We start from the raw sequence: 13,931 nt of genomic DNA, 5'->3' as shown, positions 1-13,931 counted from the left end.
AGGCCAGGTGCTGTGGCTTACCCCTGTAATCCCAACACTTTGGGAGGCCAACGCAGGTGGATCACCTAAGGTCAGGAGTTCTAGACCAGCCTGACCAACATGGTGAAACCCTGTCTCTACTAAAAAATACCAAATTATCCAGGTGTAGTGGCACATGCCTATAATCCCGGCTACTTGGGAGAGGCTGAGGCAGGATTGTGTTAACCCAGGAGGCAGAGGTTGCAAGGAGCTGAGATCACGCCATTGCACTCCAGCCTGGGCAACAAGAGCGAACTCCATCTCAGAAAAAAAAAAGAAAAAAAGATCTGTGGGAGGCTGAGGCATGAGGATTGCTTGAGCCCAGGAGTTTGAGGTTGTAGTATACTGTGTATTGTATGTATGCTGTGTAGTATGATTGCACTGTGAATAGCTACTGTCCTCCAACCTAGGCAACATAGCAAGACCCCATCCCTAAAAACAAAAAAAAACTTAAAAAAAGAAAAGAATTCTAGATTGACAATCATTTTCCTTTATGAGTTTGAAGGTACTGTTGCATTATTTTCTATTATAGATTCCACTGTTACTAATGAGAAGTCCAGTGACATTCTCATTCCCACTTAGTAGTATGTGACCTGTTTTTTTTTTCTGAAATCTTTGAGTATCTTTTATCACTGATGTTCTTAAATTTATAAAAATGTATCTTACTGTGTTTTTTTTCATTCATGTGTCTGTCATTCCCACAGACTTGCCCGTTTAGTCTAGAAATTCATGCCCTGCAGTTCTTGGTCGTTTTATTTTGTTATTTCTTAGATGGTACATTGCCCACTGATTTATCTTTCTGGAACTTTCATTTTTCAGATGATGGACCTTCTGAATTGACCTTCTTAATTTCTTCTCTTGTTTTCCATTTCTTTATCTCTTTTATTGTACCTTTTTTTTTTTTTTTTTTTTTTTTTTTGAGACAGAGTCTTGCTCTGCCACCCAGACTGGAGTGCAGTGGTGCAATCTCAGCTCACTGCAAGCTCCGCCTCCCAGGTTCACGCCATTCTCCTGCCTCAGCCTCCCAAGTAGCTGGTACTACAGGTGCCAGCCACCACACCTGGCTAATTTTTTTGTATTTTTAGTAGAGATGGGGTTTCACCCATGTTAGCCAGGATGGTCTCGATCTCCTGACCTTGTGATCTGCCCGTCTCGGCCTCCCAAAGTGCTGGGATTACAGGCGTGAGCCACTGCGCCCGGCCTTATTCTACTTTTAAAGATATTTACTCAACTTTTCATCTAGTCCCAATGAACTTTTAATTTCAGCTATATTTTCATTTCTCTTTCATGTTCTCTAAAGTTACTAATTTAGATTTATTCGAAATTTTCTTGACTGCTTCGTCTCTGTTTCTCCTGAATTTTTCTCCATTTTTTTTCTCTCTCTCTCTTTTTTTTTTTTTTGAGATGGAGTTTCGCTCTTGTTGCCCAGGCTGGAGTGCAATGGCACGATCTTGGCTCACCGCAACCTCCGCCTCCCAGGTTCCAGCTATTCTCCTGCCTCAGCCTCCCGAGTAGCTAGGATTACAGGGATGCGCCACCACACCTGGCTACTTTTGTATTTTTTGTAGAGACGGGGTTTCTCCATGTTAGTCAGGCTGGTCTCCAACTCCTGACCTCAGGTGATCCACCCACCTCAGCCTCCCAAAGTGCCGGGATTACAGGTGTGAGCCACCATGTCTGGCCTTTTTTCTCTCTCTAAAAAATATTTTAAATTTTTTTAAATGTTAGTTTATATCTTTTATTAACTCATACACAGTTAGTTATCTTCTGGTTTGTTGAAGCAGTAAGTCAGACATTTGCCACAATAATGTCTGTCAAAGTGGCTTGCCATAAACACTCCAGCACCACATTCATCAGAAGGGCACTCTCGACGAAAGCAACTAATTTTGCCGTTCTCATCTACCTTATAATATTTCAGGATAGCCAGCTTAACCTTCTTTCTCTTGTGCTTACTCTTCTTGGGAGTGGTGTAAGACTTCTTCCTTTTCTTAGCACCACCATGAAGTCTCAACACAAGATGAAGAGTAGACTCCTTTTGAATGTTGTAGTCAGACATCTTCCAGTTGCTTGCCAGCAAATATTAGTCTTTGCCGATCAGGAGGAATTCCTTCCTTATCCTGGATCTTGGTCTTTACATTTTCTGTCGTATCCGAGGGTTCAACCTTGAGGGTGATGGTTTTCCCTGTAAGGGTTTTCACGAAAATCTGCATTTGCAGATGGCGGATCTTTAAATTTTTTTTTGTTTTTTGTTTTTTGTTTTTTGGGACAGAGTCTCGCCCTGTCACCCTGGCTGGAGTGCAGTAGCATGACCTCGGCCCACTGCACCTCCATCTCCCGGGTTCAAATGATTCTCCTGCCTCAGCCTCTTGAGTAGCTGGGACTATAGGCATATGCCACCACGCCCAGCTAATTTTTGTGTTTTTTGGTAGAGATGGGGTTTCACCATGTTGGCCAAGCTGGTCTCGAACTCCTGACCTCAGGTAATCCACCCCCCTCGGCCTCCCAAAGTGCTGGGATTACAGGCTTGAGCCACCGCACCTGGCTTTTTTTTTTTTTTTTTTTAATACGATGGTGTCTCGCTATGTTGCTCAGGCTAGTGTCAAAACTCCTAGGTTCAAGTGATCCTCCTGCCCCAGTTTCCCAAGTACCTGGGACTACAGGTGCATGCTGCTGCACCTCGCTTTTCTGTTTGTTTTGACCTATGTTTTTCAGGTAAGAGGTTTTCCTCAAATGTCAGATAATTCTTAGTGGTCCACTTAAATTTGAATGAGACACTAAAAACGTGTTCAAAGCTCTGTGAATGAGGCAGTAAAAGTTTGTTTTAAAGCTCTTTTATTTCAAGAGTGGAAGTAAAAAATCCATTGACCTCAGGTGATCACATAGTATTAGAGACTTATCTGCTGGTATCCGTAAGACTTTTCTGGAATATCTCAGTTTCTCCAGAGACATATCTGTAAATCTCTTGCCTGGCTGTTGGTGTTGTGGATCAGAAGAAGGAAGGGAAACTTGGTCTTATGGTTCAGTCTGCAGAGTTTCACCTAAAACCCTAGTCTTTTCTGTGCCTAATGTTCTCTACCTCTGAGTCTCCAGTTCAATTTCTCTAGAGAATAATCCTGTAGATTCCTGTGGAGACAGAATAGAGGTCTGTCATCTGATCCCATAGAGTGGGGGTTGTGTGGGGACCTGAGGATCCTAAGACTTTCAGATCACCCACCCAATGCTTCACCCCCACTTCCCATTCTGCCTGTGTCCTCAGTTGCTATGTATTTTAGATCAGATTCTTTTGTTTTAAGTGTCTCACTGCAGGTCCTTATGCTTGATCATCGTCCCTTCTGCTGAGTAATTTGTCATCCTTCATATATTGTGGTTTACAGTTACAAATGACTGCTAGTTTTACTGATGATGGAGTTTCTGTTTTTTATCCTCCCTTGATTTGGGGCGATACTTGTTTTTTGTTTGTTTGTTTTAGTTTTTTGTTTTTTCTGAGACTGAGTCTCGCTGTGTCGCCCAGTATGGAGTGTGGTGGCGTGATCTTGGCTCATTGCAACCTCTGCCTCACAGGTTTAAGTGATTCCACTGCCTCAGCCTCCGGAGTAACTGGGATCACAGGCACGCGCCACCACACCCAGCTAATTTTTGTATTTTTAGTAGAGACGGGGTTTCACCATCATGGCCAAGCTGGTCTTGAACTCCTGACCTCAAGCAATCCACCTGCCTCGGCCTCCCAAAGTGCCGAGATTACAGGGGTGAGCCACCACACTCAGCCAATCTAGGGTGATATTTGAAAGAAAGAAGGCAACAAATACCATTTTTAAAACTGAAAACTTATATTAAACTTAATGGTAAAGTAGGACTTTTACTTTCTCAGTGAAGTATTTCTTTTTCTGAACAGTTTTGTCTAAACTGTGACATATTACCTTTCATTTCTGTGTTTTGATAAATAAACCCTTATGTTGACAAAACAATTAACTGTCATTAAGAAAAATAACCAATTCTAATGCTTTTCTGTTGATGGGAATACTGACTTTTATTATTTGTTCAGATTTCAAAGCAGATTGTTATGTACACCTTATTTAAATTTATTCCCTACCCACTGAGCAAGAATAGGTATTATAGGAAAACTACCAATTTGAGAACTCAAATTTTTATCTCCAGTAATCTAGTGTAATATAATTTGCACGTTATTTTTTCTTGTTTTTATAGGTTTCTTTATGGAATGGCAAAGACTGAAATTGCTGAAAAATATTAAACTGTGGTCTTTCTCTTCCCCCAGGTTCTTTTAGAGCAAGATATATTTCATCGTTCCTTGATGGCTTGTTGTTTGGAAATTGTGCTCTTTGCCTATAGCTCACCTCGTACTTTTCCTTGGATTATTGAAGTTCTCAACTTGCAACCATTTTACTTTTATAAGGTGAGATGAAAACAAAGTTCTGTTATGAGATGAAAACAGTGTTTCTCACAGAAACATTGTATTTATCTTAGTGCTGAAGAAAAACACTGTTGTGATATCTGGAAAGTGTTTCCAGATGTGTTCTGAAAATATATATTCCTGGCTAGGCATGGTGGCTCACGCCTGTAATCCCAGCACTTTGAAAGGCCAAGGTGGGAGGATTATCTGAGGTCAGGAGTTCGAGACCAGCCTGGCCAAAATGGTGAAACTCCGTCTCTACTAAAAATACCAAAAAAAATTAGCCAGGCATTGTGGCGAGCACCTGTAATCTCAGCTGCTTGAGAGGCTGAGGCAGGAGAATTGCTTTAACCTGGGAGGTGGAGGTTTGCAGTGAGCGGAGATCATACAATTACACTCCAGCCTAGACGACAGGAGCAAAATTCTGTCTCAAAAAAAAAAAAAAAGATAATATATATTCCTCTTGGGTGAAACCAAGAACACAAGAGAGAGTTGAGCATACAGTGGCTCACACCTATAATCCCAGCACTTTGGAAAACTGAGGCTGGAGGATGGCTTGAGTCCAGGAGTTTGAGGTTACAGTGAGGTATGATTATGCCACCACACTCCAGCCTGGGCACCTAAGCAAGACCCTGTTTCAAAGAAAAAAAAAGAGAGAGAGAAGGTGAGAGTATCAGTAAATTAAGTCAATCTTACAGCTTCAGTTCCTTTGTTAACACGGACTTGAAAATGTGACCTGGAACTAGTACTTAACTTCAAATTTTCCATATTTATGAATGAAAATTATAATCCTATTAAACAAATGCATGATGAAGAACAAAAAACGCTTTCTACCAAGAGGAAGGAAGACCTAAAATTGATTTTGGTGGTGGTCTAACTAATAAAGCCGTAATAATAGATTATGCTTCTTCCCCAAGTTTGAGCTAATTCAGTGTGAATGAATCTTACTTACCTTACCTTTATTTTTCTTGCTAGAACTATTTTTGTTAATCTTTTCAAAATAAAACAGAGGTCATAGCTATTGAACTACATCATCACCCTCAATAACGTTTAGTCATCACAGTCAATAACGTTTAATGTTACATAGTATCGAACTTTAAGACTAATGCTACTGTTACGCTTCTTGGCATGATTTAGTTAATATTTAGTCATCTAGGTACTTTTCTACTGGTGATAGAAAAATTGGTTTGAAGAGTTAAATTTTTATACCTAAAGTATGCCTGAATTAAAGTTGTAGAAAATGCAGGTCATTGGAAAGCTTATCTGTGTGAATTACTGAGTGTGATTAAAGTATTTTTAGGTTTCTTAGGGAGAAGTGATTCTACTATACACTCACTTTAATGTTAATGTGTGTATTCAACTTTTGCCATTAGGAAAAAGTTTAGTTTTGTCAACAACCTCATAGTAATTGGTTTTTATTTATAACATCCTTATTTTATTCAAGCAGCTAAATGCCTTTTTTTTCAATAGAGACTCGGTTTCACTATGTTGCCCAGGCTGGTCTCGAACTCCTGGTCTCAAGCAATCCTCTCACTGTGGCCTCCTAAAGTGCTGGGATTACAGGCATGAGCCACTGTGTCGGCCTCCTTTGTTTTTTTAAATGACATAAATGATATGTGCTCATTGAAGAAAATCATAAACATAAATGTGGGCCAGGCACGGTGGCTCATGCCTATAATCCCAGCACTTTGGGAGGCCAAGGCGGGCGGATCATGAGGTCAGGAGATTGAGACCATCCTGGCTAATATAGTAAAACCCCATCTCTACTAAAAATACAAAAAATTAGCCAGGCATGGGGGCACGTGCCTGTAGTCCCAGCTACCCGGGAGGCTGAGGCAGGAGAATCGCTTGAACCTGGGAGGCAGAGATTGCAGTGAGCCGAGATGGCGCCGCTGCACTCCAGCCTGGGTGACAGAGTGAGACTCCGTCTCAAAATAAATAAATAAATAAATAAATAAATAAATAAATAAATAAGTAAATAAATGTGAATATTAAAGTCATACATCATAATCTATTAACAATCATATTATTAATATTTTGTGTATATAAACTTTATTCTAGATACTTCCCTTATAAAATGGAATTATAGTGTATATACGCAAAGTCACTTTAAATAGTTCATTCATTCTGTTATTTTGAGTTAGTGGAAAAAATAGTCTGGAAAGGAGCAATACATTCAAAATAGAACTAGACTTGGAACCCAAGACCTGACTTCTCCCACTGTTGGTCTGTTGACCAGTTTTCACCTATCGTTGCCTCAAGTTGTCATTTATAATATAAAACGTGAAAAACAGAAATATATGTGAACATATTTTAAAGAACTTAAAAACTCCTTTATAAATTAGAAGATGTTAGTAAGCCACAGAATTATGGTTCAAAGATGACTTTGGTTCTGTGCCACAGAATAAGGCCACAGTGGCCGGGCGCAGTGGCTCACAACTGTAGTCCCAGCACTTTGGGAGGCCTAGGCGGGCAGATCACCTGAGGTCAGGAGTTCTAGACCAGCCTAGCCAACATGGTGAAACCTCGGCTCTACTAAAAACTACAAAAATTAGCCAGGTGTGGTGGCAGGTGCCTGTAATCCCAGCTACTCGGGAGGCTGAGGCAGGAGAATCACTTGAACCTGGGAGGCAGAGGTTGCAGTGAGCCAAGATCACACCACTGTACTCCAGCCTGGGCAACAGAGGGAAACTCCGTCTCAAAAAAAAGAAGAAGAAGAAGAAAGCCACAGCTAGTCCTACATGCAAGTCCAGACTAGAACTAACTGCTTGAAACCACATTGCCTTCTCACTTTCTCCTCTGCAGGTTATTGAGGTGGTGATCCGCTCAGAAGAGGGGCTCTCAAGGGACATGGTGAAACACCTAAACAGCATTGAAGAACAGATTTTGGAGAGTTTAGCATGGAGTCACGATTCTGCACTGTGGGAGGCTCTCCAGGTTTCTGCAAACAAAGTTCCTACCTGTGAAGAAGTGAGTCTGGGCAAGGCTGATAATCGTATCATTAAAAAAAAAAAAAAAAAAACCAGCTTTATTGAGAGATAATTCCTATACCATAGAGTTCACCCATTTTAAGTGTACAATTCAGTGGTTTTAGTATATAAATAGATATGTGCAGCCATAACCACAATTTTAGAATATAGTCATCACTTCAAAAAGAAACCTACATCCTTTAGCTATCACTTCCCTACCCCCGAATCTTCTCCCTAGCTGTAAGTAACCACTAATCTACTTTCTGTCTCCATAAATTTGCCTATTCTAGACATTTCATATAAATGGAATCATAAAAATGTAGTCCCTTTTGACTGGGCATCTGTCACTTAGCATAATGTTTTTAAGGTTCATCCATGTTGTAGAATGTATCGGTATTTCATTTCCTCTCTTTTTTTAAGGCGGGGTTTCACTCTTGCCCGGGCTGGTGTGCAGTGGACAAAGATGGTGCACTGACTACACCCTCAACTTCCTCGGCCCAAACTGTCCTTCTGCCTCTCAAGTAGCTGAGACCACAGGCACATACCACCACACCCACACCCGGCTAATTTTTTTTTCTTTCTGTTTTTCTTTTTTTGAGATGGAGTCTTGCTCTGTCACCCAGGCTGGAGAGCAGTGGCACAGTCTCGGCTCACTGCAACGTCTGCCTCCCAGTTCAAGCAATTCTCTGTCTCAGCCTCCCGTGTAGCTGGGATTATAGGCACCCACCACCACACCCGGCTAATTTTTTTTGTACTTTTTTTAGTAGAGACGGGGTTTCACCATCTTGTCCAGGCTGTTCTTGAACTCCTGACCTCATGCTCCACCTGCCTCAGCCTCCCAAAGTGCTGGGATTAGAGGCTAGAGGCTTGAGCCACCGCGCCTGGCCACACCCGGCTAATTGTGTGTGTGTGTGTGTGTGTGTGCACGCGCGCATGTGTGTGTAGAGACAGGATCTTGCCATGTTGCACAGGCTGATCTCAAACTCCTGAGCTCAAGCAGTCCTCCCATCTCAGCCTCCCAAAGTGCTAGAATTGCAAGTGTGAGCCACCACATCTGGCTCATTTCCTTTTGTTGCTAAGTAATATTCCATTGTATGGATGCTACATTTTATTTATCCATTCATCGGTTGATAAATATTTGAGTTGTTTCCACCTTTTGACTTTTTTTTTTTTTTTTTTGGAGGGGGGGGGACAAGATCTCACTCTGTCACCCAGGCTGGAGTGCAGTGGCGCCATCACGGCTCACTGCAGCCTCAACCTCCCAGGCACAAATGATCTCCCCACAGCCTTCTGAGTAGCTGGGACTACAGGCACACACACCACACCTGGCTAATTTTTGTAGTTTTTGTAGAGATGGGATCTCCCTATGTTGCCCAGGCTAGTCTTGAATTCCTGGGCTCAAGCGATCCTCCCACCTCAGTTTCCCAAAGTGCTGGGATTACAGGCATGAGCCACCACAACTAACCCCTTTTGGCTATTATGATTGATGCTGCTATGAACATTCAGGCACAAGTTTTTGTGTGAACATATGTACATATGTTTTCATTTTTCTTGGAGTGGAATTGCAGGTTCATATGGTAACTCTGTTTAAGCTTTTGGGAAACTGTCAGACTGCTTTCTAAAATGGCTGCACCATTTTATTGTTCCTACGGTCAATGTAGAAAGATTCCAGTTTCTTCATATCCTTGCTAATGCTTGTTATTATCTGCCTTTTTAATCCTGCCATTCTAGTAGGAGTGAAGTAATATCTCATTGTGGTTTTATTTGCATTTCCCTGGTGGCTAATGATGATCAACATCTTTTTATGTGCTTGTAAGCTGTTTGCATATCTTCTTTGGAGAAATGTCTATTCAGATCTTTTGCCCATTTTGTAATTGGGTTGTCTTTTTATTATTGAATTATAGGAGTTCTTCATCTATTCTAGATACAAATCCCTTATCAGATAAATGATTTGCAAAATGTTTCTCCCATTTTCTAGGTTGTCTTTTCACTTTCTTTTTTTTTTTTTTTTTTTGAGACAAAGTCTTGCTCTGTTGCCCAGGCTGGAGTGCGGTGGCGTGATCTCGGCTCACTGCAAGCTCCACCTCCCGGGTTCACGCCATTCTCCAGCCTCAGCCTCCTGAGTAGCTGGGACTACAAGCACCCACCACCACGCCCAGCTAATTTCTTTATATTTGTGGTAGAGGCAGGGTTTCACCGTGTTAGCCAGGATGGTCTTCCAAAGTGCTGGGATTACAGGCATGAGCCACTGCACCTGGCCTGTCTTTTCACTTTCTTGATGGTGTCTTTGAAATGCAAAAATTTTTAATTTTGATGGTGTCCAATTCAGATATTTTTTCTTTTGCTTCTGCTTTTTGATATCATGTCTAGGAAACCATTAAACTTACTTAAAAATTTTCAAATGTCTGTATAAAGATTGAACACTTTTCATTGGTGGTATTCAGAATTAAAAAATAAAAAACAGAGGCTGGTGCAGTGGCTCATGACTATAATCCCAGCACTTTGGGAGGCCAAGGCAAGTGGATTGCCTGAGGTCAAGCGTTCGAGACCAGGCTGGCCAATATGGTGAAACCCCGTCTCTACTAAAAATACAAAAAATTAGCTGGGCATGGTGGCACACACCCATAATCCCAGCTACTTGGGAGGCTGAGGCAGGAGAATTGCTTGAACCCAGGAGGCGGAGGTTGCAGTGAGCTGAGATCGTGCCATTGCACTCCAGCCTGGACAACAGAGCGAGACTGTGTCTCAAAAAAAAATTAAATGAATAAATAAATAAAAATTAAAAATGTGTGCCCAGAGTTGTGCACAAATTACATTTTTAATAGTAGTATCGTGAGAAATTGTGGGGTTTTTTTTGTCTACTTCTGTTATTCTTTTGTAACTCGTGTCTTTTGATTCTTTGTTTTGTCTCCTTATGTACTTCATTAATCTTCTTGAATTTTTCCCTAATCCCAAACTACTAGAACTGTCCAAGGCCAGGAGGAATTGGAAAGAAGATGGTTTCTTGAAATCTCTCTTCCATACTTCTTTGGTCTTTTGCAGCAGACAGTAACTTATTGGGCCACTCTTCAGTATTCATCAGTTTATTTCCATTGAAGAACTTCAGACTCCTTCAAGTTCAAAAAAGCTGTGAACTTGAAGAAGGATTAGTATTGAAGCCGTTGCTCTTATAACTTACTAGTTGTGTGACCTTGGGCAAATTTCACATTCAGATCCTCAATTTTCTCATCCCTAAATGGAGAATGATACTGCCTACCTCAGAGGTTTAGTTCTTGTGGTTGGTAACTTACCTATATAAATTATAAGGTTAAATGAAATGAACTCTTTCCATACGTTCGTTAACATTAAGAATTGAGCACTTTATCCAAGTTGTATTTTGTGAAGAAGTGAGAAAGAAATAAAATAGTAAAAAAAAGTTAAGAAAACACTTTTTCGGCCAGGCACAGTGGCTCACACCTGTAATCCTAGCACTTTGGGAGGCTGAGGTGGGTGAATCATCTGAGGTCAGGAATTCGAGATCAGCCTGGCCAACATGGTGAAACCTCGTCTCTCCTAAAAATACAAAAATTAGCCGGGCATGATGGCACACACCTGTAGTCCCAGCTACTCAGGAGGCTGAGGAAGGAGAATTACTTGAACCCCGGGCGTTGGAGGTTGCTGTGAGCTGAAATCGTGCCACTGCATTCCAGCCTGGGCAACAGAATGAGACTTTATCTCAAAAAAAGAAAAGAAAACATTTTTAATAAGTTTTAATCAGCAAGTTTATCTATATGTAAATCAAAGGGTTTTTGTTTTCTACAGGTTATATTCCCAAATAACTTTGAAACAGGAAATGGAGGAAATGTGCAGGGACATCTTCCCCTGATGCCAATGTCTCCTCTAATGCACCCAAGAGTCAAGGAAGTTCGAACTGACAGTGGGAGTCTTCGAAGAGGTAGGTTCAACATTGGTAAAGGAATGAAAAAGTAACAAAGGGCATTTGGCTTTTTTTCAGGGAAAATTTTAAGTCTTGTGAGTATGTTATTAAGAAATCTAATTTATTCAGCAGGGTTCGAAAAGGAGCTTGATGCTTGTGCCAGCACCCCTGTGTAGCTCATTGTACACTATATTATATACTATAGTGTATTCTATATTAATAGAATTTTAAATGTAATTTATTTAATAAATATATGTAATCTTTCCTGAATGCTAATGGAGAACTGTTTAAATAAGCTAAAGTCAGGCACGATGGCATCTTTCTGTAGTCCTAGCTACTCAGAAGGCTGAGGCAGGAGTATTGAGGATTGTGTTTGAACCCAGCCTGGGCGAAATAGTGAGACCCCCCTCATGTCCCAGAAAAAAAGAAAAAGAAGAAAGGAAAAAACAAGATAAGTGTATTAGCCTGTTCTCACACTGCTAATAAAGACATACCCAAAATTGGGTAATTTATAAAGGAAAGAGGTTTGATTTACTCACAGTTCCACATGGCTGGGGAGGCCTCACGATCATGGTGGAAGGCAAAGGGAAGAGCAAAGGCACATCTTACATGGCAGCAGGCAAGAGAGCTTGTGCAGGGGAACTCCTCTTGATAAAACCATCAGATCTCATGAGACTTATTCACTATCAGGAGAACAGCATGGGAAAGACCCACCCCCATGATTCAGTGACCTCCCACCTGGTCCCTCCCATGACACGTGGGAATTATGGGAACTACAGTCAAGATGAGATTTGGGTGGGGACACAGCCAAACCATATCACTAAGCTAAATACCTACTTTTCCAAATTTCCCAAATTTATATTCTTCCTTTGCCTGTGTATGTCTCTGTAGAAAAACATTTAAAGCAAAATAAAATTTGTATTCTCTTTGGAATGCTTAAGTTCATCTAATAAACTAGTTATTTTTATTCTTAAAATAGTTCATTTTGAGACTTACCAATGGAAAGATTTTAGTTCATTCTTCCTTATTTTCTCTTGTGATGTAGCGAGCTGATGTGTGTATCTTGTGGATTATATAGCGCTTGGATTTTTAAAAATCAGTTAAAATCTCCTGACCACATAGTATCCCTTAACAAATCTTAGATGAACAAGTATTCAGGTTACATAGTACGGTACATCCATTTTTGGACTCTGTGTGATTGTGTATGTGTGTTTGTCTGTCTGCAATCTTTGCTTTACATGCAATGCAGGATCATAAAAATGACTGCAGGCCAGGTGCGGTGGCTCACACCTGTAATCCCAGCACTTTGGGAGGCCAAGGCAGGCGGATCACCTGAGGTCAGGAGTTTGAGACCAGCCTGGCCAACATGGTGAAACCCCATCTCTACCAAAAACACAAAAATTAGCTGGGTGTGGTGGCGGGTGCCTGTAATCCCAGCTACTCAGGAGGTTGAGGCAGGAGAATCACTTGAACCCGGGAGGCAGAGGTTGCAGTGAGCCAAGATCACACCACTGGACCCCAGCCTGGCGGACAGAGCGAGACTCTGTTTCAGAAAAAAAAAAAAAAAAAAAAGGCCAGGCACAGTGGCTCATTCCTGTAATCCCAGCACTTTGGGAGGCTGAGGCAGGTCAATCATGAGGTCAGGAGTTCAAGACCAGCCTGGCCAAGATGGAGAAACCCTATCTCTACTAAAAATACAAAAATTAGCCAGGCATGGTGGCAGGTGCCTGTAATCCCAGCTACTCGGGAGGCTGAGGCAGGGAATCACTTGAACCTGGGAGGCAGAGGTTGCAGTGAGCAAAGATCGTGCCATTGCCCTCCAGCCTGGGCGAAAGAGCGAGTCTCCGACCCAAAAAAAAAAAAAAAAAAGATTGCATAAGGTCAGGCACAGTGGCTCACGCCTGTAATCCCAGCAGTTTGGGAGGCCGAGGCAGGTGGATCATCTGAGGTCAAGAGTTTGAGACCAGCCTGGCCAACATGGTGAAACCCTGTCTCTACTAAAAATACAAAAATTAGCCAGGCATGGTGGTGTACACCTGTAATCCCAGCTGCTCAGGCAGCTAAGGCAGTAGAATTGCTTGAACCCAAGGGATGGAGTTTGCAGTGAGCGGAGATCGCACCACTGTACTCCAGCCTGGGGACAGAGCAAGACTGCATCTCAAAAAAAAAAAAAAAAAAAAAACAATGGCCGGGCGCAGTGGCTTACACCCGTAATCCTAGCACTTTGGGAGGCCGAGGCGGGCAGATCACGAGGTCAGGAGTTCAAGACCAGCCCGGGCAACACAGTGAAAACTGGTCCCTAGTAAAATACAAAAAATTAGGCAAGCATGGCAGCATGCGCCTATAGTCCCAGCTACTTGGGAGGCTGAGGCAAGAGTGAGGCAAGAGAATTGCTTGAACCCAGGAGGCGGAGGTTGCAGTGAGCCGAGATTGTGCCACTGCACTCCAGCCTGGTCGACAGAGTGAGACTCCGTCTCCAAAAAAAAAAAACAAGATTGCATAAGATGTGAATACTCAGTCATTTTAATCAGTGGGAATAATTATAATTATTATAATTGTTTTTTGATCTTTACGAATCTTGTCAAAATGTTAAAAAAAAGGCTCTTCTTTCTGTCAGTTA

General features: G+C 41.7%; 1 protein-coding gene and 1 pseudogene across 7 annotated transcripts in view, besides 2 other annotated features; one reads left to right on the top strand and one right to left on the bottom strand.

The window, feature by feature from the left end:
- Positions 1-13,931, top strand: part of RBL1 (RB transcriptional corepressor like 1) — a 99,649-nt gene that overhangs the window by 44,516 nt on the left and 41,202 nt on the right. For all 7 annotated transcript variants that reach the window (NM_001323281.2, XM_047440348.1, NM_002895.5 and 4 more), the window contains 3 exons: positions 4,292-4,429; positions 7,232-7,396; positions 11,197-11,329. In NM_001323281.2, coding sequence (NP_001310210.1) covers positions 4,292-4,429; positions 7,232-7,396; positions 11,197-11,329 — 436 coding nt within the window. The remainder of the gene's footprint in view (positions 1-4,291; positions 4,430-7,231; positions 7,397-11,196; positions 11,330-13,931) is intronic.
- On the bottom strand, positions 1,737-2,244 carry RPS27AP3 (RPS27A pseudogene 3; annotated as a pseudogene).
- Positions 7,049-7,218: an enhancer, noted in NCBI's record as "active region_17826". NCBI's record gives its function as "activates an Ori minimal core promoter by ATAC-STARR-seq in GM12878 lymphoblastoid cells {active_cell/tissue: GM12878}" and the evidence as "EXISTENCE:reporter gene assay evidence [ECO:0000049][PMID:35858748]".
- Positions 7,959-8,058: an enhancer, noted in NCBI's record as "active region_17825". NCBI's record gives its function as "activates an Ori minimal core promoter by ATAC-STARR-seq in GM12878 lymphoblastoid cells {active_cell/tissue: GM12878}" and the evidence as "EXISTENCE:reporter gene assay evidence [ECO:0000049][PMID:35858748]".

Source organism: Homo sapiens, chromosome 20, assembly GCF_000001405.40.
Source record: "Homo sapiens chromosome 20, GRCh38.p14 Primary Assembly".
Classification (NCBI taxonomy): Eukaryota; Metazoa; Chordata; class Mammalia; order Primates; family Hominidae; genus Homo; species Homo sapiens.
Note: the sequence above shows the minus strand (reverse complement) of the source record. Positions and strands in the feature narration are given on the sequence as shown.